The sequence below is a fragment of the Homo sapiens genome, chromosome 11, assembly GCF_000001405.40.
Source record: "Homo sapiens chromosome 11, GRCh38.p14 Primary Assembly".
Taxonomy (NCBI): domain Eukaryota; kingdom Metazoa; phylum Chordata; class Mammalia; order Primates; family Hominidae; genus Homo; species Homo sapiens.
This window is the reverse complement of record NC_000011.10, coordinates 126,142,284-126,165,206: the sequence shown is the minus strand read 5'-3', so window position 1 is coordinate 126,165,206 and position 22,923 is coordinate 126,142,284. Positions and strand designations below refer to the sequence as shown.

The following is a 22,923-nucleotide window of genomic DNA, read 5'->3' as shown; positions in this document are numbered from 1 at the left end:
TTACTTTTTTTTTTTTTTTTTTTTTTTGCGGGGTCGAAGAGGCGTGACAGGGTCTCATTCTGTCACCCAGGCTGGAGTGCAGTGGCATGGATCATAGCTCATTGCAGCCTCAAACTCCTGGGCTCAAGTGATCCTCCCAAGCAGCTGGGACTACAGGGCATATCTGGCTATTTTGTTCGTTTGTTTGTTTGTAGAGGCCAGGTCTCCCTGTGTTGCCTAGGCTGGTCTCAAACTCCTGGCTCTGAGTGATCCTCCCACCTTGGCCTCCCGAAGTGCTGGGATTACAGGTGTGAGCCACTGTAGCCGACCATTTCTTAATTTATTGAATCCTGGTGTCTTAGGTGTTTAAGCGTCCTCAGGGCTTGCAGGAGAAAGTTTCTGATTAAGGAAATGGATCCGTGGAAGTTGCTGAGGATGGAGTTTCTTTCCCTTGTGTTACAGCTGACCAGTCATGGGGCTAGAGCTGGAACTCAGACATCCCCTCTCCAGGCTTGACTGACAGTAACCAGGTAAAAATAATCTACGGGGCACCAGAAGCCTTGGGGTCTGGTCATGCTCAGGCGCTAACTTGCAGGGTGACCTTGGGCCAGATTTTCCTCCTCTCCAGGTCTCAGTTTTTTCATAGGAGTAGAAAAATTTTTCTGCTTTTGAGGCCATTCCATTTAAGCAACTGCAGGAAAAGGAGTGATTATAGTAGTAGCAATTCAGATCAAAGGTGGAGAGGTCTTAAAAGGATTTGGTGCTGGGCTGGACTATAGTGTTTTGATTTAAATGTGGTAAATGCTAGGAGAGGCTGTTGGCCCTGGAAGGGCTCAGGGCTGATGGAACAAGAGCTGCTGATGAAGAAGATGGCTGTGACGGGGACAAGCACATCGCTGCAGGCCCTTGGTCTATTTTATTTATTTATTTATTTTATTTTTGAGACGGAGTCTTGCTCTGGCACCCAGACTAGAGTGCAGTGGTGCGATCTTGGCTCACTGCAACCTCCATCCCCCAGGATCAAGCAATTCTCCTGCCTCGGCCTCCTGAGTAGCCACACCTGGCTACATTTTGAATTTTCTGTAGAGACAGAGTTCCGCCATGTTGCCCAGACTGGTCTCAAACTCCTGACCTCAGGTGATCTGCCCACCTCGGCCTCCCACAGCATTGGGATTACAGGTGTGAGCCACCGCACCTGGGGCCCTGTGGTCTGTTCTTGAAGATTCATTTCCTCTCTCAGGGCAGTTCAGAGGAAGCTAGAGTTTGAGGGCACAGAGCTCTAGGAAAGGGTTTCCTGATTACCGGGCAAATCTGAGACCCCTCCCTCTGGGGCCTCCCATTCTCTGCCTGGTCTCCCGGTCTGCCTGTTGCTCTCTGTCGCCGGGTACGTCTGCCCCTCTTGGGTCTCACTGTCTCGGGGTCTCACTCTGTCTATGGGAACCTTTGCCTTTGGGACCCAATTACTGGACCCTCTAGGAAAGTTTAATTGAATATTTGTATTGAAAACAGGAGCCAGGGCCCCGAGCCTGATGGGAGGAGACAGGGGGAGAAGAGGGGAGCTGTGTTTGCTTTTCACTCCGGATTAGAGACCTTTATTTGTGCTGAGAGCAGAGATTGGGCCTGGGGATAATGAGTCTGAAGTTTGTTTTCTCCCTCAGGCTGCCCCTCCCTCTGCCTACTCTCTCTGCAGGGAAGGGGTTAGGGCAGAGGGGCCGGGAACTTGTCCGAGCTGCGGTCCGCTGGGCATTCTGTGCCCTGGGGCCCCAGCCTGGGTCTCAGGAGCTGCAGCTGGCCGCAGCTATGCCTGACATAGGCACGGGCTGTGCCGGTTTGCATACGTGCACTTCAAGCCGCGGGTGCTGGGTCATGAGTGCCTCCTGGGAAGACCCTCGGCCAATGCGTGTGCATCTGGGTGTGTGAGAAACGTGCTGTTGTTGAGGACAGTGACTGCTGAGTACATCTGCTGCCAGGAGGCTAAGGCGGTCACATGGGAGTGTGATTCATTGAGGCCTGAAAAGTGCCATCAATCTCACTCTTTCTGGAAGGCATAAGATGCCATTCCTGTGAGCTGCTCCGCGCTCCCCCGCACTCCTCGTGGCAGGGACCTGAAGTTTCTTGGCCGTGCCGCCCCTGGAAAAGTCTGCCAGTGAGCGGGGAATTAGCCAGGCTCCTGCTTCCTCCGAGTGAACACTGTAGCAATCCTGGGGTCCCATGTCTTGCCCATCGCCCTGAGGCCCTGTGCTCGTGATTGCTTTTGATCTGAGCAGAATCTGCCTGTGTGAGGCTGGGCCACTTGTCCTGGGTCACACAGAGCTGGGGATTTGTGGGGAGGGCACCCCGATCGTCCCAAGGGCCTGATGGCTCTCCGGCGGTGGTCGCGTTCCTGCCAGGTGTGAAGACCTGCTCAAGTCCACACAGCCCACTCCAGGCCGAATAGGGAATTCAACCCAGGTTTGTTTGCCTCCAAAATCCATACCTTCTCCTTAGGGGCTGGACAGCAGAATCAAGGGGGTGGGCAGCCGGGGCTGAAGGACCCCAGTGGAGAGAGGAGATTTGATTCCTCTGGCTGTTTTTCTAAAGGAAGATTGAGAAGAGGGCCAGGAGATTCCTGGAGGTGATCACAGCCGCTGCACCTGGCAGGTCACTCACAGTGTGCAGATGGAGGCAGCAAGGCCAGTGTCTGCCTCAAGCCTTCCTTTCCCTTCTCCCCAGCCGCCCTCTCATGCTCCTTGCCCCGCCTTGCTGAGATCTAACAGCTGCTGTTATTGAGTGTCTGCTGTGTGCCTGGCCCATTCCAAGTGCTTCACATAGGTTACACATTTCACTCTTGCTACAACCACAGGAAGGAGTTTCTTTATCCTGATTGTAAGAGGGGAAAATACCATCTCACACCAGTTAGAATGGCGATCATTAAAAAGTCAGGAAACAACAGGTGCTGGAGAGGATGTGGAGAAATAGGAACACTTTTACACTGTTGGTGGGAGTGTAAACTAGTTCAACCATTATGGAAGGCAGTGTGGCGATTCCTCAAGGATCTAGAACTAGAAATACCATTTGACCCAGCAATCCCATTACTGGGTATATACCCAAGGGATTATAAATCATGCTGCTATAAAGACACATGCACACGTATGTTTATTACGGCACTATTCACAACAGCAAAGACTTGGAACCAACCCAAATGTCCATCAGTGATAGACTGGATTAAGAAAATGTGGCACATATACACCATGGAATACTATGCAGCCATAAAAAAAGATGAGTTCATGTCCTTTGTAGGGACATGGATGAAGCTGGAAACCATCATTCTCAGCAAACTATCGCAAGGACAAAAAACCAAACACCGCATGTTCTCACTCATAGGTGGGAATTGAACAATGAGAACACCTGGACACCGGATGGGGAACACCACACACCAGGGCCTGTCATGGGGTGGGGGGAGGGGGAGGGATAGCATTAGGAGATATACCTAATGTAAATGACGAGTTAATGGGTGCAGCACACCAACATGGCACATGTATACACATGTAACAAACCTGCACATTGTGCACATGTACCCTAGAACTTCAAGTATTAAAAAAAAAAGGGCAGGGGGAAACGGAAGCACAGAGAGGTGGAGTGACTTGTTTGCTCTGTTAGGTGCCAGCATCTGCTTCCAGCTCGCCCTGCTTTTGTTCAGCGTGCAGCCCTGAAGCGGATGCTGCCAACCCTGCTGGGTCCCCACCCCACGCCGCTCCAAAGGGGCCTAACTGTGGTCGGCGGGGCGGCATGGGTAGGGTCACCATTCTCTGATGCTATAGGTCAGAAGAGGCAAGCTTAGCCCCACTTTGGACGGAGCCTTCTTCCTCCTCCTCGCCTGGTTGCTGCAGGGTGACTGGGTGTGGGGACTGCAGGGCTGTGAGAGCCCTTACCACATCAGAGCTGGGTTCGCCTCCTGTCCTCAGATGCCCCCTCTGTCCACACACCCCTCTCTCACATGGGCCACTGTTCTCCATGCCCTTTCCTTGGGGCAGTGATCTGTCCTTTGTCAGCCAGGCCGCCTTGGGCCTTGGGAGAGGCTACCGGGAAGCAAAGCCTTGGTTGGCTGCAGTGAAGTGTGGAAGGGGAGGGGACATGCACAGTTCCCGTGTGCCACCCTTGCCTGGAGGTGATGGCACACCAAGGCACTATAGGACATCACGGGCGGTCCTTTCACCTGGCAAATGATCCAACTCATTCTGAAACGACTGCCTCCGTTCTGAAACTCTTTTCCTTCTCTGTATTTATACGCGGGTGAGATGAGGGATGCTGGAGTAAGTACACACCGAAGTCCAAGGGGACAGGGAATCTGGGGAACTGGGGGAGGAGAAACTGAATCACAGACCCCAGAGCTCAGGACCCACCTGTGATGCGTCCCATCCACAGGCCCTGCCGTCCCTGCTCTCCCAGGCTGGCCAAGCCGAGCTTCAACTCACTGCTGAGGCCAAGCAAAGCTGAGAGGATGCTGCGCTGGCTCCCTTGCAGTAAACGGTAGTAGGAAAATGCAGCTGTTTGTGTATAAACTAAAGCTTGTTACAGTCCTGGAAGCTTCCGACTTGGGGGCCCACAGGCTTGGAGTGGAGAACATTGTGGGGAGAAAAATCATGTGTGAGCTGTTACTGCTGGGCCCTGAGGCTCTGCGGCCCTGCCTGGCCCTCCGTCCTGCTGCCCCGACCTGCCCTGCTGCCCTCCCCTCACTCCACCAGACTCCAAACACAGCCCAGCTGCAGGAACATCAGCCTCTCATTATGTTCCCTCCACCCCTGCACAAACACAGCAGGTGGGGCGTGGGGCGCAGTGGGCGGGGGCAAGAGGCCAGCATGGGATTTGGCCTTTCTCAGGGTGCTGAGAAAGTGTGCCGAGGCAGGGGCCGCCGAGGACACAGTGGAGAGGTGCCCTCTGGGCGGCTTACCATGTGCCGCAGCCCAGCTGGGATCAGACCCCTGCCATCAACAGGCCTGAAAGAGACCCCTGCCCCGTGCAGGGCCTGCAGAGAAAGGTTGAGGATAAGGGCCACTGAGGAAAGCTGCAGCGGTACGGGGGCTCATTCCATTTTGACATTAACTTGGTATGCAAATAACATGCAAATTGGCCCTTTATTGTGTCTTAGTCAATAGCCAGGCATTTTTTATCTTTGGCCTGCAGCTTTGGTCTCAGCAGATCTCAGCAGGTCACCAGGTAGGAGGGAGAGGCTGTCAGCTTTAGAAGGAGGAGGCTGGGAGGGGAGGAATCATTACTTTCCTCTGCCCAGTAGCTGTTACGCCGAGGGGGGTGCTGAGGGGGCAGTGGTGGCAGATAGGCCCTGGGGGTCCCTCTCGGCGGCCTGCTGACTTACAGGCTGGATGTGGTGGGGGCAGGCGAGGGCGGGAGGCTGTGCTGAGCCTGATGGATGGGCCCTGGCGGCAGCTTTGGCCGCCCCGCTGGGGCCAGGGGCCCAGGCTCAGCACGGGAAGGTCAGGCTGAGGGTGCAGGGAGCTCCCGGTCGCTTAGAAAGGCTGCTCATGGGAGGTGGGTATCAATTTCCCAGCTGAAAAGCTGTGGGGAGGGAGGAAGAACAGACCCCATGTGGAAGAGAAGTTACACTCTGGGGGACATGGCCAGAGAGGTCCATCTTGAGTTGTGTTTCTATCTTGTTAAAGGTGAAAATTCCTGGGTTTTGTATGGGTATGGGTGCATGTGTTGAACTTAGTATGCAGGCAAAGAAGATACTGCCTTTCTTATCACCGTCTTCTGCCCTACCCCACTCCCTGCACTCACACACACACTCACCCACTAAGCAAGACACCATACACAGTCATACAAGACACCATACACACACAGTCATATAAGACACCATACACACACACAGTCATACAAGACACCATACACACACAGTCATACAAGACACCATACACACATGCAGTCATACAAGACACTGTATGCACACACGCTCACACGCAGTCATGTACTCACGCAAGACACTATACACAGACGGTCTCTCGCACACTCATGCAAGATACCATACAAAAACACTTATACAAGACACCATACACAGGTGCGCGCGCGCGCACACACACACACACACACACACACACACACACACTCATGCAAGATGCCATACACAGACGGTCTCAAACCCACACACTCTTGCGGGTTGCTGTCCACACACAGACTCACACAAACACTCACTTGTGCAAGACACCATACACACAGGCTCTCACACACATATTCCTTTCTTTTATTAAAAAAATAGAAACCTAATTTTCATGGAAACCTGCCACTTAAGTGACTCAAGTGTCTGAATTTCCATTCTGTAAATAATGTAAATGCACATGTCTCCCCCCAGTCTGTCTCTCCTGTGCCCCACAATGCAGTGCTTGAATTTCCTCCCACTCAGACTCCCAGAAAATCCACTCTATCCTATGCAAGCTCCACACCCCTCCCTCCTTATACATCCAAGGATGTCGGGATGGTGTGGGGGGCAGTCCTGCTCATTCAAAACTGGGACTCAGCTGCCTGTCCCCAGAGGCAGAGACCGCCACAACCGTCACCAAAGGCTGTTTACTTACCTCAGGGACATTCTAGCCCTGAGCAAAATCTGCATGTGTCTGAACTGGAGGTGGGTTGGCAAGTGCGTGGAGGTGGTTTGGAACTTCTGTGGGAGCCCAGGAAATAGCTGCCACTGTCTTCTCCATTCCCCTTCCCTGCCTGGTGGTCGGGTGTGCATCATTTGCTAGAAGCCCACCCAGTGGCCTGGAAGCCTGGGGACTTGGCCTGCTTGCTGGGGAGAATCTTGCTCCACTAAGGTGAGTGCTTTCCAGGACTTTGGTTGTTGGAGGGGTGGGGGGCACAGGTTGAGACCACACTGCTGGAGCAGGGGCCAGCCAACAACTTGTCAAACTGGCTGCCTCCTTACTTCATCAATTCCCCTGTCATTTCCCTGGGATACCTTGAGTTTGACCTCAGTGCAGGGAGCAAAGTTCTTTCTTTGTCTCCTAATAAACAGCCTCAGTGACTGCTGGCCTCCAGCTGTTCTGTGGCCTCTGTGGCTCCACCCGCCTCACCCGAGAGGCCCTTTCTCCCTGTGAAGTCTCATTAACTGGAGGCTTGGGGCCAAAGGAGGGCTCTGGCCGGCCACCTCTCTCCTTATTAGTGCAATCATCTCTGTCTGGCATGATGGCCAAGCTCTTCCTAGAACCCTCTCTGCTCAGAGGCTCCTCCTAGGCTGCTGGAAAACCCTGCCCTGGGTCCTCGGAGTGACCAGGGCATTTCTACCCTGAAGCCATTAGTGCCAAGTGGCGCTGTGTATGGGGGTTTACATAGATCTTTTCAGGGCCCATAGGAAGGCAGCTATGATGGATCAGGTCCAGGAAGGTGGGTCTCTCAGTGCAGCCTCCCTGAAAACCAGCTCTGGTCTTCTGGTGGCGTTTGCCCATGGGAGGCCTGTTGACTCAGGCTGCCCAGAAGACATTTCTCTGTGTGCAGCGGTTCTGTTTCCTGGCATAGCTCTCTCCCCTGCTCCAAATGCAGTGCAAACCCTGAGCTGGGGGAGAACAATCTCATGCAGAAACTTGGGATGTTCTCTGCAGGTGGATTTCTCCCTGGACATCTGAGTGGGAGACTGGATTTTAGGCTCTGCTCTGTGCAGGTTCTCTCGCTTTTGCTCTGCCAAATCCAAAGTGCTTTCCACTTCCTTTTTCTAGAAACAGTTGTGTAGTGGTTAAGACTCAAAGATGTGCAGTCTGGGCTGGGCACGCTGGCTCACTCTGTAATCCCTGCACTTTGGGAGGCTGAGGTAGGCAGATTACTTAAGGCCAGGGGTTCAAGATCAGCCTGACTGACATGGTGAAACCCTGTCTCTACCAAAAATATAAAAATTAGCCAGGTGTGGTGGTGCACGCCTGTAATCCCAGCTACCTGGGAGGCTAAGGTGGGAGGATCACTTGAACCCAGGAGGCAGAGGTTGCAGTGAGTCAAGATCATGCTGCTAGGCAACAGAGTGAGACTCCGTTTAGGAAAAAAAAAAAAAAGATGAAAGATGTGCAATGTGACAGGCCTGGGTTCAAATCCTTATGCTGCCACCTATTAGATTGGTGAGAGAGGAAAGTTTCTGAACCTCTCTGAGCCTCAGTTTCCATATCTGGGAAATGGGGATAATGACAGTAGCGCTGGCCATAGGTTACTGAGAGCATTGCAAGAGAGGATGCGTATAACGCAAACAAGATGAGCTAGATTACTGAGGACGAACGTTGCGCAATTGTGTGTAGAGTCTTAAGGAGGATTTTGCTCTTCCACATGGGCCAGGAATTACGTACTGTTCCTTCTTGTCTCCCCGCAGGGAAGGTCTAAAATAGCCCAGAAAATGTATTTCAGTGGATGAAGGTATTTCTCTTTTTAAAAAGGACATGCAAGTAGAAAGTCTCAGAAAAAAATACTCAAGGCCCTGGTAATATTGAGAATATTTGGGAACAGGAAGAGGGGCTAAGTGGCCCATGGCAGAGATGGGAGGAATACTTTTCTTTATGTCCTTTTTTTTTTTTTTTTTGAGACGGAGTCTCCCTCTGCCACCCAGGCTGGAATGCAGTGGCATGACCTTGGCTCACTGCAACCTCCTTCTCCTGGCTTCCAGTGATCCTTCCACCTAAGCCTCCTGAGTAGTTGGGATTACAGGCACCTACTACCATGCCCCGCTAATTTTTGTATTTTTAGTACAGGTGGGGTTTCACCATGTTGGTGAGGCTGGTCTTAAACTCCTGAGTTCAGGTGACCTGCCTGCCTCAGCCTCCCAAAGTACTGGGATTACAGGTGTGAGCCACCATGCCTGGTTTCCTTATATGTCCTTTTGACTCTTGTTTTATGTCTGCATCATATGAAACCAATTATAAAAATTAATAAAATTAAAATTTTAATGTTGGAAACATAACAAAGTAGATGTACTGGGGGATAAAGTTTTTCAGGTGTTCTTAATACTTGAAACCAGGTATTTGGCTAATAAAGTCAGGCAAAGGGCTAAATCGTGAGGGATTCCTCGGAGGAGAAAGACATGGAGATCGGGGGACATAGGGGCCAAGGCCACTAGGACGTCCTGTGTCTCTGTTTGGGGGAATTTCCTCAGCCGGGTACTTTTTGCCCAAGTGCCTTGTCTCAGCGACTATTCCATGAGCTGGACACGAGCCCGCAGCCTCCGTGTGCTGTGAGCGTGGCTGTGGGCGGGGAGGCGGGAAGACGCAGCCGCAGCGCCCGGGCCCTCTCCGTGGGGCCTGCCTTTCCCCTGCGGGCCTCGCTCACTTGTTAGAAATCTCTCTTTTCTTCAAGGCTCACCTCAGATATCACCCCTCTGTGAAGTGCCCCCTGTTCCTACCAGATCAGACTTTACCCCTCCTATCCTCTTCCGTGTGTTCTGCTCATTCCTCTTTCCCAATTCTTTCCCCTGTGGTGTTTTACATTCTCTTTATTTGTTCGGATGCCATTTCCCCTGTTAGCTCTGAAGCCCGTGGAGGACACAGGCTGTGGCTCATTCACATCTGCAAGTTTCACCGTTCCCAGCCCAGGGCCCGAGACGTAAGTTCTCCATCCACGCTTGGGAGTGCATGAGTGGGCGAGTAAGCAGCCCTGAAATGTCCTGAATCTTTGAACCTCAGTTTTCCATCTGTAAAATGGGGATGGCAATCATGGAACCCACCGTGAGAGATCAGCTGGGTTGTGCTAGGGAGTTCTCTTACTACACCGCTGGCCCTGATGGATGTCCCTAAATTTACGCAGTCCTTGCTCTCATCTTGAGATCACAGGTGTCCTTGAACTTCCTGTCCTCTCTGCTGCACACAGAGCTTGCCTTCCTCCCATTCTCCACCTGGCTTCTTGATGCCACATGTCATAAGCTTAGCCAGCAGTAGGCTGGGCCTAACGTTAGGGCCATCACTCCCAGACACAGAATGGTCAACCCCGAGGAATCAGCCCTCGGTGCCTCTGCCCGATCACCGCCCTCTCCACAGAGCTGCAGAGCCCAAACTCGCCTTCCCAGCCGGGCCAGAAGGAAAAGGCTTTCTGTGCCTGCCCTGGCCTGCCAAGCCTCACAGAGGTTATGCCACTTGAAATGCTGACCTTCTGTCTTCCCTTCTACCCCCTTTTATTTTCTACTTTATGCTTTTCCTCCTTTCTCACTTACTCTTGCTTCCTCTTCTCCAAATTGTTAGTTCAAAACAATAGATAAGTGCGGAGCCGCCAGCAAGGCTGCATGTATGAGAGGCGCTGGGGAGCAAGGAAGGAACAGCCATTGGTTTCGCTGATTACCCGTTGCTGGCCCACCTTCTCGTTCTGCTTCCAGCAGGAGCTCATGGGTCCTGCTGAGTGAGAAGGAGCTTCTTTTTATCGTATCAGTCATTGCTTCCTGGTCCTTCTAGCTCATACATGCCTGAGATCAGACCAAAGGAAGTCCAGCTCTTGGTCCAGGTCTCTCCTTATGAGCTGCACTACCTCCTAGGAAAGAAATGAACTCAAGGGAGAGCAGGGAAGGGCCCACTGGAGTAAGGGTCTCACTGCAGTTCTTCAGTTAGCAGAACATTTCTGTGTAATGCATAGAAGGGACTTTATGTTTACAGATGTACTCACCCGACTCGGATGAGATCATGAGTCCTTTCCTCAGCAAGAGGACACCTTTTCCCATAATACAGTGCTACAAGCTGCGTCCCCCATAGTACGGCAGGAAGCGAGGCATCTTGGGGTTGGAGGTGTGCAGTACAATGTCATCAGAGGTGGGACAGGGCCCATCACAGGGCTTTCTTCCCTAGTCACGGAGCAAACACAGTCCCCATGGGATGGTAGAGATACAGGGAAGAGGCTGCAGCCATTGACAAGTGGGTGCGCTTTGCACCCACTGCCACGCCCTGCAATCTCCTCTTCCCCTGCCTCAGCTGTATCTTCCACAGTCCTCAGCCCTAGTGGAAGTGTCTTCAGATTTATATGGTGCTATTTACTGGCGCTCTGCCAATTAGTGACACTTTGAAATTCCCTTATATGACGCACTGCTGCTCTGACAATAAACAAGTCATTAGCTGGGTCGGAGGGCAGCTTCCAGCTGGTTTTGATTCATTGTTTCTGAACCGGCTCAAGAGGCTCATTAAGATGCAGGGTCTCCAGTCCAAGGCTTGGGAAACCCTGAAGCTAGAAGCAGATGGGGCTTCTGCACAGCTAGGTACTGGGTTGCTGTTCACCTGCCCTTCCCTTCTGATGCCCCATGAGACTCATCCCCCACCACTGTAGGGGATACTAATTGCCACCACAGTGTCACCCTCCTTTCATAAGATACAGACACAGGACAAAGGCCTCAGTAGGGAGTAGATGTGAAGGGACAGCAGGGAATGGTGAAAGGAGGCTGGGTGGAAAGGAGAGACCTGGGTGCTAGAGGAAGGAGCGGCACGGGAGAGCTAGAAACTCCAGTGGGTGATCTGGGGTGGGGAAAAGGTGGCGGACATCTGGGCGAGAGCCCAGCCCATTATGTCCAGTTCATGTTCTTCACTTGCAGCTCCAAAGGCTGTGAGACCTGGAAGGGATCTTGGACAGCACCCAGGCCAACCCCTCATCTCCATTTTACAGATACTCAAGAAAGACGAAGTGACTTCCCAGTTCACTCAGCTCATACATGCCTGAGATTAGACTAAAGGAGGTCCAGTTCTTGGTCCAGATCTCTCCTTATGACCTGCATTAGGTCCTAGGAAAGAAACAAGCTCCAGGGAGAGCAGGGGAGCATCCTGCTCCAGGCACGTGCTCACTGCTGCTGTTTCTCCTCTTCCCTGTGCTTGCAACCCCTCCTTCCATCATGCCTCATGCCCTTGCTGGCTTCTGGATTCTGCACGTATAAAGGAGTCCTGTTTGGGTCTAAGGATGTCGAGTATGTGAATGGCTAAATAAGAAGGCTCATTACAGAGCACCATGCTAGGCACTGTAGGAGAAAAAAAGTGCTTGACATTCATGACCTGGAATGGAAAGCACAGTGAAAAAATTACCACTAAGTAAACATAGAACGTAAAGTCTGAGTCGTGAGCTCCACCAGCTGAAGCCATGGTGCTATTCCATGAGGGACATCAGGATGGATGTAGCTCTAGGTGCTAGGCATTATGGTTTTGATGCTGCCCTGGGGGCAGGTGACATGATCTCTAGTTTATAAGAGGAAGATAGCTAAAATTGAGACCTATGCAAAGACTGGGACCCTGTAAGAGATATAACCTCAGACAAACCAGGATCAAAAAAATACCAATCACAGGCTTAGGGTAGGGACAGTTAATCTTATCCTGACTGGGACTCTAAATAGAAAAAAGTCTTCTGTGAGAAATAGAAGCTGCAGGCCTGAACCATATGTGACTACAGTGTCTGAATTTCCACTGCTGGAATTCCCAAGCTGAGAAATTAATATAAAAATAGATCCCAGACCAGTAAAACTCATGGTGTATCAAGAGAAGGAAATACACAGCTATTCAGGAGGAATGTGCCCCAGAGCAACAGCATTTCACAGCAAAATCTGATCCCCTTTGAAGTTGCCCAAACAATAAAAAAATTACAAACCCACATCAGGAAATGATATACTATTAGAGAAAGTCAGCAAACATATCAAACTAGTTTAGCATTCCAATAAATAAAACAATGTAACAATCTGAAAGAGACTTTAAAATAACTATGTTTAAAATGATTAAAAAGGTGAAAACATAGAAACATAAAGAAAATATAGGATATTTTGGAAGAAACAGGCAAATTTGTTAAAAAACAAGAACTTTCTAGAAATAAAAAATATAGTCATTGAATTAAAAGCTCAATAGATGTGTCAGACAGCAGATTAGATGAAGCTGAGCAGAGAATTAATGAACTGAAAGATAGATCAGAGGAAATTACAACAAATGTAGCATGGAAACAGGAGAGAGAAAAAATGTGGAGGAGAAGCCAAAAAGGCATAGAGGATAAAATGAGAGGATCCAAATTACCTTTACAGGGAGTTGCACAGGAGAAGAATATAGAGAAAGGGACATGGCAACGTTCAATTTTCCAGAACTGATGAAAGGACACTGTCCTCAGATTAAAGAAACATTGGGATTTCTGGGGGAAAATACATAAGAATAAACCCACAGAGATATGGTAGAGTGAAACTGGATTCAAGGAAATACAGCCAGTGTGTGGAGGGATTAAGGAGAAAGGAGAGGTTAAATTTGTCCAGGAATATCTGTGAAAGTCCATGGAAAACTGAGACTTGAAGGTCAAAGAAAATTTTAAGAGGTTGAAAATATGGTAAGGCTGATGAGATTTAAGAAATAGGAAGAAAATATGAGGTTTCAGGCTCTCTGATTAGTTTCTAAGTAGGTTTTAATGCAATTCGTTTTGAATTAAGTTACTCTTAAGACTCTGGATACCTATTTGTAAACTAAAGGTTTCAGGGGAAGCTCTCCTGGCCTGCACATTTATTTCAAACCTAGTCTCTGTTCTTCCCAGTTGGGTCCCCTGCCCTGTCCATGACTCTTCAGTCCTGGCTAGGCACAAGTCACCCAGCTGATCCTATTCCACTCGAAAAACCACTCGTAATCAACAAATTGCCCTTTGAGGCCTCCCCTTCCTGTTGGGGGCTGAGTTGAAATTGGACTATCCAACCTTCCTCCCTCTACCTGTGGTCCTTGGGGCAAAGAAAAACCCTGCTCTGAAGTGGACAGCAGGGGCATGCCCTACTGCATCTGTGCCTGGTTAGCAGTGTCAGTGGCTTCAGAGGAACAGAAAAACCTGGGCATGGTAATTGGCTCATGAAAGCTGCATGTTGCTGGAGCGGGCAGGAGGGTCTGGAGAGGAATGGGCTTAATGGGAAGCAAATGCTGCAGAAGAGCCTGTGCACACCCTCCCCCAATTCACGGCCATTAGCATTCCTCAGACACCTGCAGGCGCTTGGCCCTAGCTGGGCATGGGATGTGCCGGCTCCTCCCTGCTGGCGCACAGAACAGAAAGATGAAGTTTGGTTCTCATTAAGGGGGCAGGGGTGGATGCGAGACAGGAGAACTCTTTCTTGTATCTTTTAAGAGCACGTGCTTTTCTTTGGTTGTTGTCAAATTCTGCTTCACCTTATGGTTGTTTACGGGTTCAGAGAAAGAGCACTAGACTTTGGGTTGAGTACCAGATCATCCTTTCCTAGCTTTGCAACCATAGAAACAGCACCAAATCTCTCTGGTCCTCAGCCTCCTCCTGGTTAGGAATAATGAAGGGATAATTCCTACGAACAGGGTTATTTTGAAGAATAAATAAGGTAGACCATTTGAAGGCACCGGGCAGAGAGGTATTATGGAATGGACACTCAGAAAATTTGAGTTTCCTTTATCCCAGATCATAAGTACCTTTGGAGAAGGAATGGTGTCTTATTCATCTTTGTAACCCCCAAGGCGTCTGTTGTGGTGCCAGACACCCAGAGTAGAAGACTGAGTCAATGGGGGTGCAGTACCCCCGATGCTGAGCTCCCCCACCCTCTCACTGGGACAGGACAAAGGTCAGCTCAGAAGCCAGATGCCAAGAAGAAAAAAAGACCGGGTCCTTGAAGAGTCATTGAAATGGGCCTGGTGGCAAAGCAGCAAAGGGGCAGGATGTCTATGAGGCCACTTGAAGAACCTACTCCACCTGGGTGCTGGGGGACGTGGTCCTGCAGGAGGCCAAGGGGACTGCACCAACAGAGGGACCAGCCCTGTCCGGGGAGGGACGGCATCTCCCTCTCCTCCCATCCCACGCTTGCAGGTGCCGGCTTCCGGAGGGTGCCGTGGTCTCTGGGGCTGGCTCCCTTCAGCCGCAAAGACCTCTCTGGCGGAGGCTTCCATCCACCTGCTCTCCAGCTGCTGCTGGTAGAGGCTTGGTTGACTTAGGCATCTTCCACGCATCTTTAATCTGTCTTCACTCAGTGCCAAACATCTGCGGAGGGGATCTACTGGCTGTTTATTTTCTGTTTGTCTTGGGTGTGACACAATCTCTATTCTTCACTTTAATGGCTCTTCTCTTTATTATTATTGTCTCAACCCCTCTATTTATTTGCTTTCCCCGAACACCAACTACTTTCCCTCTGCTCTCCTGGACTGGCCAAGGCCCATGCCAGCCCTCCCTGCTTCCTCTCCTCCCAGCTCAGGGCCCTGCTCTCCTGGCTATGAGCCTCACTCAGACCAGATGTGGTTTCCTCCTCCTCTCCTCCTCCTCCCTCTCCCTGTCCCCCTGAGTTGCCAAGGGCTGCAGGGGGTCAGGGGAGCAGAGAGGTTCTCCACCCACATCCTGTCCTGCCCCCGCCGTCTACTTCCCTGCCCAGCTCTGTGGCCCACACTAAAGAGGGAAGGGAGTGCAGTGCATGCCAGGGTACTGTTTAGTCCCTGTGATGAGGGGTGCTGGCAGGACTCCTACCCCTGACAGTATGGTCAGTAGGGGGCCTTGGTCGCCTCTCTGCAACACAGCTGCACTGGAAGGATTTGGCACAGTCCATGCACACTCTAGATCACTGATGGTGTCAAGGCCCCTCGCTTCCATATTGCCCAATGAGCAATATTTTACAACTGTGCTTTTACATCTACTGTCCCTGCAACCTTCGCCACAGCCTGGATCCTCACCTCTTCATGCCAGAGGAGTCTGAGGTTCTAGCATCGCTCAGCTGATAAGAGGCCAAGTCAAGATTTGAATTTAAATCTGGTTTGATGTGAAGAATGGCCAATTGGCTTAAACACTGGGGCCCGACTTTCTTGACCTGGCCTGGTCTGACCTGTCCCAACACCTGGGAATAAACCTCTTTTGGTGAATAGAGTCTGGGTTTGGGGGCAGCAGCCAGCCTGGGACACTTTTCTGTTTCTGGAATTATTTCTACCTCTGGCCATAATGGGTCACTGAAATTTGACCCCTGGGATTTCAGTAGAAGTGATAGTTAGAGATAATATTATGGCTCTCACTGTGCAAAGAATATAGACTCTACAAGGATACGGAATGCAAGAGAAACTGAAGGTGAACTTATCAGAGGGGAGAGTTGTGGCAAAACTTCAGACTCAATACAAAATCACCAATCAACTGTTCAACCAGGAGCAAAGCCAGGCTTGGCGGGGTCTGAGCTTTTACAATTTGGTGGTGGTGGTGGGAACTCTTTTTAAGTAAAAGAATTCACAAGTATGAACACAAATGTACCAGGATTCCTCCCAGGGCCTTGCAAGGATCCTGTGCAAAAGCCATTAGCTTCCTGGAAAATCCAGCCCTGAATAGGGCTAAAGTGACTTCAGACTGAGCACCTAGGCAGATTTTCAGCTAAAGCTGTAGTTTGGGACCAACTAGGACAGTGGTTCTCAATTCTGGTGGGCCTAAAACTCACCTGGGGACATGTTCAAATGCAGACTGTGCTTTACCCCCAGAAATTCTGCTTTAGTGGCGGGTCTGGGGAGGGGACTTGAAGTCTGCATTTTTGACGAGACCTCCAGGGGATTCTGAAACTGGACAAGTGGGAACTAAACTCTTGAGAAACATGGGGCCAGAAGTGGTGGCTCACACCTATAATCCCAGCATTTGGAAGGCTTAGGCAGGTGGATCACTTGAGACCAGGAGTCTGAGACCAGCCTGGCCAACATGGCAAAACCCTATCTCTACAAAAAATTCAAAATTAGCTGAGTGTGGTGGTGTGTGCCTGTGGTTCCAGCTACTCGAGAGACTGAGGTGGGAGGATTGCCTGAGCCTGAGTCAAGCCTGCAGTGATCCGAGATCAAGCCACTGCACTTTAGACTCTGCTCTTTGAGACTCTGTCCAAAAAAAAGAAATAAAGGGAGAGAAAGAAAGAAAAGAAAGAAAGAAAAGAAAAGAAAGAAAGAAATCCAGTCCCCACACTGTCATGAGGAATTCAGGCTGGAGAACAGGAATGTTCACCAAAGTCAGACAGCAAACAGGGGTTGAAGGTATAGCTGGGATCGGGGTCCTGTCCCCAATTTCTCGTTCTTTCCTCTTGCCAGGCTGTCTCTGATCAGACTTCACTTCCTGAAGAAGGTGAGTTATTAGCGTGGGGGGGTTTGCAAAGGGGACATGAAACTGGGCTTTCTCTAGCAGCTTCCAGAAAGAAAGAAGTCCTGGGCTGCCTGGGACTCCTGAAAGGTGAGAGACCCCATGGCCCCAGAGGCAGGGCCTAGATCCCTGGGGAGGGAAACTTAATTGCTGGCAGGTGCTGTAGGAGTGGGGCTGGAGCCCCTCCCAAAGTGCAGTGTCCATGGGACTGCAGCTCAAATGCCTTCCAAAGCTCCCAGGTCAAAGGTCACCATCAAAGCATTCAACTGGCAAGGCACTCTCATTAAGTCAAATATTGACTTGTCTCAATATGAACTTTGTTTGTTTGTTTGCTTTGGCCAGAGGTCTAGTCTAAACATGTAAATGACTCATCTGCTGATTAATGAACCTCTTCCCAGGAGTCTCTTCCTAAGACCCCTTAGCGAGCAAGAAGGCCAGAGGCAGGTAGGGAGGACTGGAAGTTGTCTCATCACTGCTCTGAGGAACAGGGGGGACAGTGGAGAACAGTGGGAATGGGGAAGATAGAGAGGCCTGGACTGATGAGAGCCACGGTCCCTCTGGTGTCTGGGGAGCCCCTCTGCAGGGGGACGCTGCCGCCAATGTCCGCTCTCAGGCTTGGGCACTAGAGGTGCTCCGAGCCGGCTTCACGCTTCTTGGAGGCAACTCCATCAACCCCACCAGGTCTGGGTCCTGCGGGGCAGGTGACAGCCTGCAGTGTGGAGGAAGCCAGCTCCCTCCTTGGACTAAAGGGAGGAGGAAACTGCTCAGTTTCAAGAGGGCTGAGGAGCCCAATAGGCTTAGAGTGTTGGAATGAGCTGCGTTCTACTGGGGGCTCTTCATTGCACAACCCCAGGGGGTGCCATCCACACAGTGTTCTAGAGTTGCGTGGCAGTGTGGCCTGCTCCTGAGAGCCCCACTGCGCACTCCTGCCCTGTTTACAGCAAGAAAGGGCAGGGGCAGTAGGGAGGGAGGGAGGGAGGAAAGGAAGGGGAGGGAGGGAGGGAGGGAGGAAGACAGGAAAGGAAGGGAGGGAGGGAGGGAGGGAGGGAGGAAGGGGCGAGTCTTCCCTGAATGCCGCTGCGGGTCAGGCTGTGGGTGGGGGCGCTCAGGTGGGCAGTGAGCGATAGAGGCTGGGCTTGGCTGGGGTTGGGAGAGGGAGGCCGCCAGAGGAGGGCCGAGCCCCTTGAAAGCTGCTATTGTTTGAGGTCTATGCTCAGAGAAGCCCTGAGTAAAAAGAGCTTGTTAGAGAGGCCCAGGCTGGAGACAAGCTGCTCTCAGAGAGCCAGTGAACCGTGCGAAATGACTTAAACTAACATCCCTGACTGCACCGGGCCGGGACCCAGGAGTCAGGGCCGTGGGCTCATCAGAAATTCATAGAAGGTGCCCCGCAGCTCAGCTTTCTCTGGCCGCCTTGTTCATTGAGCGGTTTTTTCTTTCCAGTCCCGCGGCTCTGAAAGGGAGACAGGGGCTGCCTGATGGGGAAGATCAAGTGGCCTTTGAAAACCTCTCTCGGAGTTTATTAAACCCAGGGGCCAGGGCAGGCCAACCTGGAGGCCCAGCCAGGCCTGGCTCCGCCCACCCCGGGCTCCCCAGAGGGGACCTGGCCTGTTCTCATGTCCCAAACTTGGCAGGTCTGTGCAGAGGGATGAGGGGGTGGGGGAGCGGGATCCTGAGGAAGATGGGAGGAGGTGAGGGAAGGGGCTGAGCACGGGTGGAGACCTGTGGCCCCCACAGACGACAGGGCCTTCTCTCTCTGGGCCCCCAGGACACCCCCTGCTTCCTGCTGGAACTCGTCTCTCCAGGAGCTCTCCGAGTGTTTGTGCTCAAGGTACACAGAGAGGAGAGTGGGGGGAGGAAAGGACTAGGGGGTCTCTGGGCTGCATCACAGCTTCCTGACCAAGTAAGGGCAGGAACGACGCTGCTCAGAGGATGCCTCAAGTTTCCAGAAGTCCCTCAGAGAAGGAGAGGTGAATGACCTCACCTGCCAAGGCCCAGGGTGCTCACCCAATCCCCGTCCCAACACACATCCCAGAGGGACTGGCCTTCGAGGCAGCACCCAGAACAGGGGGCTGAAGTAGACCCCTGGCACAGAACACTTCCCCGAGACTGCCTGATGACCCGCGAGGCTGAGTCCCTGCCGAGGACAGCTACGGGGGAAGGAGCCTTCCACAAACACCCAAATGAAAGCCTTCTGGGTGCCAGACCCCATCCCAGACACTGGGTACACAGGGATGAGCAAAGCAGTGGGTGTGTCTTGTTCCTGAGAAGACATGGGACCCTCTGTCATCAACATGTGTGAGTTCTTTTTTTTTTTTTTTTTTTTTGAGATGGAGCCTCGCTCTGTTGCCCAGGCTGGAGTGCAATCGCGTGATCTTGGCTCACCACAACCTCTGCCTACCAGGTTCAAGTGATTCTCCTGCCTCAGCCTACCGAGTAGCTGGAAATACAGGTGTATTCCACCATGCCTGGCTAATTTTTGTATTTTTAGTAGAGACAGGGTTTCACTATTTTGACCAGGCTGGTCTTGAACTCCTGACTTCGTGATCCACCCACCTCGGCCTCCCAAAGTGCTAGGATTATAGACATGAGCCACTGCGCTCGGCCAACACGTGTGATTTCTAAACCCCGCTGAGCCACTTCCTAGCCAGGTGACCTCAGGCAGTAACTGTACTTCTCTGAGTCCCAGTCCTTAGGGTGGGTGCAGAGCTGGTGTAGGGAGGGCTGCTAATCCACATCAAACTATAGTAACTCCTTTACCAGTTTATATCCTGGGGATCTGAGGGAGATTTCTTCTGAAAAGGTAATTCTGCTTGTTTAAAAGGTTGAGGCCGGCACACCTGTAATCCCAGTGCTTTGGGAGGCTGAAGTGAGAGGATCGCTTGAGACCAGGAGTTCAAGACCAGCCTGGGCAACATAGTAACATTCCGTCTCTCCAGGCGCGGTGGCTCACACCTGTAATCCCAGCACTTTGGGAGGCTGAGGCAAGTGGATCACTTGAGCTCAGGAGTTCGAGACCAGCCTGGCCAACATGGTGAAACCCTATCCCTACTAAAAATACAAAAATTAGCCAGGCGTAGTAGCTGGTGCCTGTAATCCCAGCTACTCAGGAGGCTGAGGCAGGAGAATCACTTGAACCCAGGAGGCAGAGGTTGCAGTGAGCCGAGATCGTGCCACTGCATTCCAGCCTGGGTGACAGAGCAATGTCTGAAAAAAAAAAATTTCCATCTCTTCAAAAAATATATATATGGCCGGGTGCGGTGGCTCATACCTGTAATCCCAGCACTTTGGGACACTGAGGCGGGTGGATCACAAAGTTAGGAGATCAAGACCATCCTGGCTAACACAGTGAAACCCTGTCTCTACTGAAAATACAAAAAATTAGCCAGGCATGGTGGCGGGCGCCTGTAGTCCCGGCTACTTGGGAGGCTGAGGCAGGAGGATGGCGTGAACCTGGGAGGCAGAGCTTGCAGTGAGCTGAGATCGCACCACTGCACTCCAGCCTGTGCGACAGAGCGAGACTCTGTCTCAAAAACAAAACAACAACAACAACAACAAAATATATATATATATATATATATATATATATATATATATATATATATATATATATGTATGTATGGTGGTGGTGTGCACCTGAGTCCAAGCTACTCAGGCAGCTGAGGCAGGAGGATTGCTTGAGCCCCAGAGATTGAGGCTGTAGTGAGCTATGATCATACCACTGCACTCCAGCCTGGGAGACAGAGTAAGACCCTTTCTCTAAATGAATGAATGAATGACGTCTTTAACCGTCAACCAAATTCATATCCCTCCTACCTCGCCTGCATTCACATAAGTCTTTTAATCTTTTCTGCCTTGTTTCATTGACAGTGGCCCCTCCCAGATCATTCCTGGGCCATGATGTGCCTCCTTCTCCCTGAACCCTCACTGGATGCCTCCAGAGAGTTCCTCTTTCCCAGCCCAGCTTTGGATTTGGAATCCAGTTCTGTCTCAACCCCTTTTTAGACTTCCCCTTTCAACAAGTTCAAAGTCCTTTACAGTTTTTCCTGAGCATCTTTTTCTCACATATATTTTTAGAGAATAAACAGATGGGAAGGGTCTGAAGATACAAACTGAGTTGTGTATGGTAGCAGTCCCTGAACCTTGCATGGATGGCAAGGTGTGAGGAATGGCCCTATTCTTTGTAGGTTGTAAGCCTCTTTCTCTAGGGCCAAGGCAGCTAACAAGAAGTTTGAAGGCCTTATCCCCCCACTCCCCCCACACCCCCCCTATTTAAGGCCAGGCCTACTTGGCCTGTTAAAAATATGGCTAGTCCTAGATCCTTGACCTAGCAATCCCATTACTGGGTATATAACCAAAGGAGTATAAATCATTCTACTATAAAAACACATGCACACGTATGTTTATTACAGTACTATTCACAATAGCAAAGAGTTGGAACCAACCCAAATGCCCATCAATGATAGACTGGAGAAAGAAAATGTGGCACATATACACCATGGAATATTATGCAGCCATAAAAAAGGATGAGTTCATGTCCTTTGCAGGGACATGGATGAATCTAGAAACCATCATCCTCAGCAAAGTAACAAAGGAACAGAAAACCAAACACTGCATGTTCTCACTCATAAGTGGGGGTTGAACAATGAGAACACATGGACACAGGGAGGGGAACATCATACACCAGGGCCTGTCGGGGCAGGGATGGGGGGAAAGGGGAGGGAGAGCATTAGGACAAATACCTAATGCATGCGGGGCTTAAAGGTGCAGCAAACCACCATGGCACATGTATACCTATGTAACAAACCTGCATGTTCAGCACATGTATCCCAGAACTTAAAGTAAAATTAAAAAAAAAAAATATATATATATATAACAGGTGCCTTGTCCAACAGATCCAGGAGCCAGGAAGGATATTGGGATGGGGAGGGACAGTGGTATTCCTTTTAGCTGACATTCTTGGAGTCAGCCAACCAAATCTGGGCTAGCAGAGAGGTTTCAGCTAATGTACCAATTTGTCCAGATTGAGGGTAACTGCCTGGGCACTCTGTTTAGAAGGACCCCAAGACTGTGTTGTTGTCATTGTTCAGAGAGCGTTAATAACTAACTCATGGTGCCTGTCATGGGCACAAGCTGGACGCATGGCAGAACTTGTGGTGTGTGTGTGTCTCCCATTCCTGGACCAAATGAAAAGAGGGGAGAGTTACAATTCCTTATGCTGGTCATAATTTTTCCTTTGAACAAAAGAATGAGAACAAATGATTTGACAACAGCCCAGGTGATTTGAATTTGAGAACTATGCCCAAAAGTTGTTACATGTGTTCACTGCGGGTTTCTTTTGGGAATGGTCATTCTTCAAGCTGGTGGGGAATTCCAAAAGAAATTAAACCTTAGTGGCTTTCAAACTATTCTTTTTTTGTTGTTTTGTTTTGTTTTGAGATGGAGTCTTGCTCTATCGCCCAGGCTGGAGTGCAGTGGCACAATCTCGGCTCACTGCAAGCTCCATCTCCCGGGTTCACACCATTCTCCTGCCCCAGCCTCCCAAGTAGCTGGGACTACAGGCGCCCGCCACCACACCTGGCTAATTTTTTTGTATTTTTAGTACAGACGGGGTTTCACCGTGTTAGCCAGGATGGTCTCGATCTCCTGACCTTGTGATCTGCCTGCCTCAGCCTCCCAAAGTGCTGGGATTACAAGTGTGAGCCACCACGCCCAGCCTCAAACTATTCCTTTACAGGCTTACAATGGTAGGCTTTTCTTTCAAAGAAATCTTACACAATGCATAAACAAATACAACAGATAAAGCTGAGCTGCTCTGGTTGAAATGGGGCCTGGGCATCAGGATGCACTACCAGTGCACCTTGGGGCCTATTTGAAAGCTACTAGTCTATTCTACTCTCTGCTTTTACGGGGGCTATTTTTATTTTATTT

At 50.8% G+C, this 22,923-nt stretch overlaps 6 annotated features.

Moving 5' to 3' along the window:
• Window positions 4,024-4,668: an enhancer, noted in NCBI's record as "H3K27ac-H3K4me1 hESC enhancer chr11:126030434-126031078 (GRCh37/hg19 assembly coordinates)". NCBI's record gives its function as "activates a minimal SCP1, AML or CMV promoter by ChIP-STARR-seq in primed H9 embryonic stem cells {active_cell/tissue: H9 hESC(primed)}" and the evidence as "EXISTENCE:reporter gene assay evidence [ECO:0000049][PMID:30033119]".
• Window positions 4,669-5,313: an enhancer, noted in NCBI's record as "H3K4me1 hESC enhancer chr11:126029789-126030433 (GRCh37/hg19 assembly coordinates)". NCBI's record gives its function as "activates a minimal SCP1, AML or CMV promoter by ChIP-STARR-seq in primed H9 embryonic stem cells {active_cell/tissue: H9 hESC(primed)}" and the evidence as "EXISTENCE:reporter gene assay evidence [ECO:0000049][PMID:30033119]".
• Window positions 16,998-17,644: an enhancer, noted in NCBI's record as "H3K27ac-H3K4me1 hESC enhancer chr11:126017458-126018104 (GRCh37/hg19 assembly coordinates)". NCBI's record gives its function as "activates a minimal SCP1, AML or CMV promoter by ChIP-STARR-seq in naive H9 embryonic stem cells {active_cell/tissue: H9 hESC(naive)}" and the evidence as "EXISTENCE:reporter gene assay evidence [ECO:0000049][PMID:30033119]".
• Window positions 17,166-17,310: an enhancer, noted in NCBI's record as "145 bp enhancer 115 fragment used in the MPRA reporter construct; PK_construct_1821". NCBI's record gives its function as "activates an SV40 promoter by MPRA in HepG2 cells {active_cell/tissue: HepG2}" and the evidence as "EXISTENCE:reporter gene assay evidence [ECO:0000049][PMID:23512712]".
• Window positions 17,232-17,245: a transcriptional cis regulatory region, noted in NCBI's record as "HNF4 motif; enhancer activity is reduced when this motif is scrambled". NCBI's record gives its function as "necessary for full MPRA enhancer 115 activity {active_cell/tissue: HepG2}" and the evidence as "EXISTENCE:site-directed mutagenesis evidence [ECO:0005528][PMID:23512712]".
• Window positions 17,645-18,292: an enhancer, noted in NCBI's record as "H3K27ac-H3K4me1 hESC enhancer chr11:126016810-126017457 (GRCh37/hg19 assembly coordinates)". NCBI's record gives its function as "activates a minimal SCP1, AML or CMV promoter by ChIP-STARR-seq in naive H9 embryonic stem cells {active_cell/tissue: H9 hESC(naive)}" and the evidence as "EXISTENCE:reporter gene assay evidence [ECO:0000049][PMID:30033119]".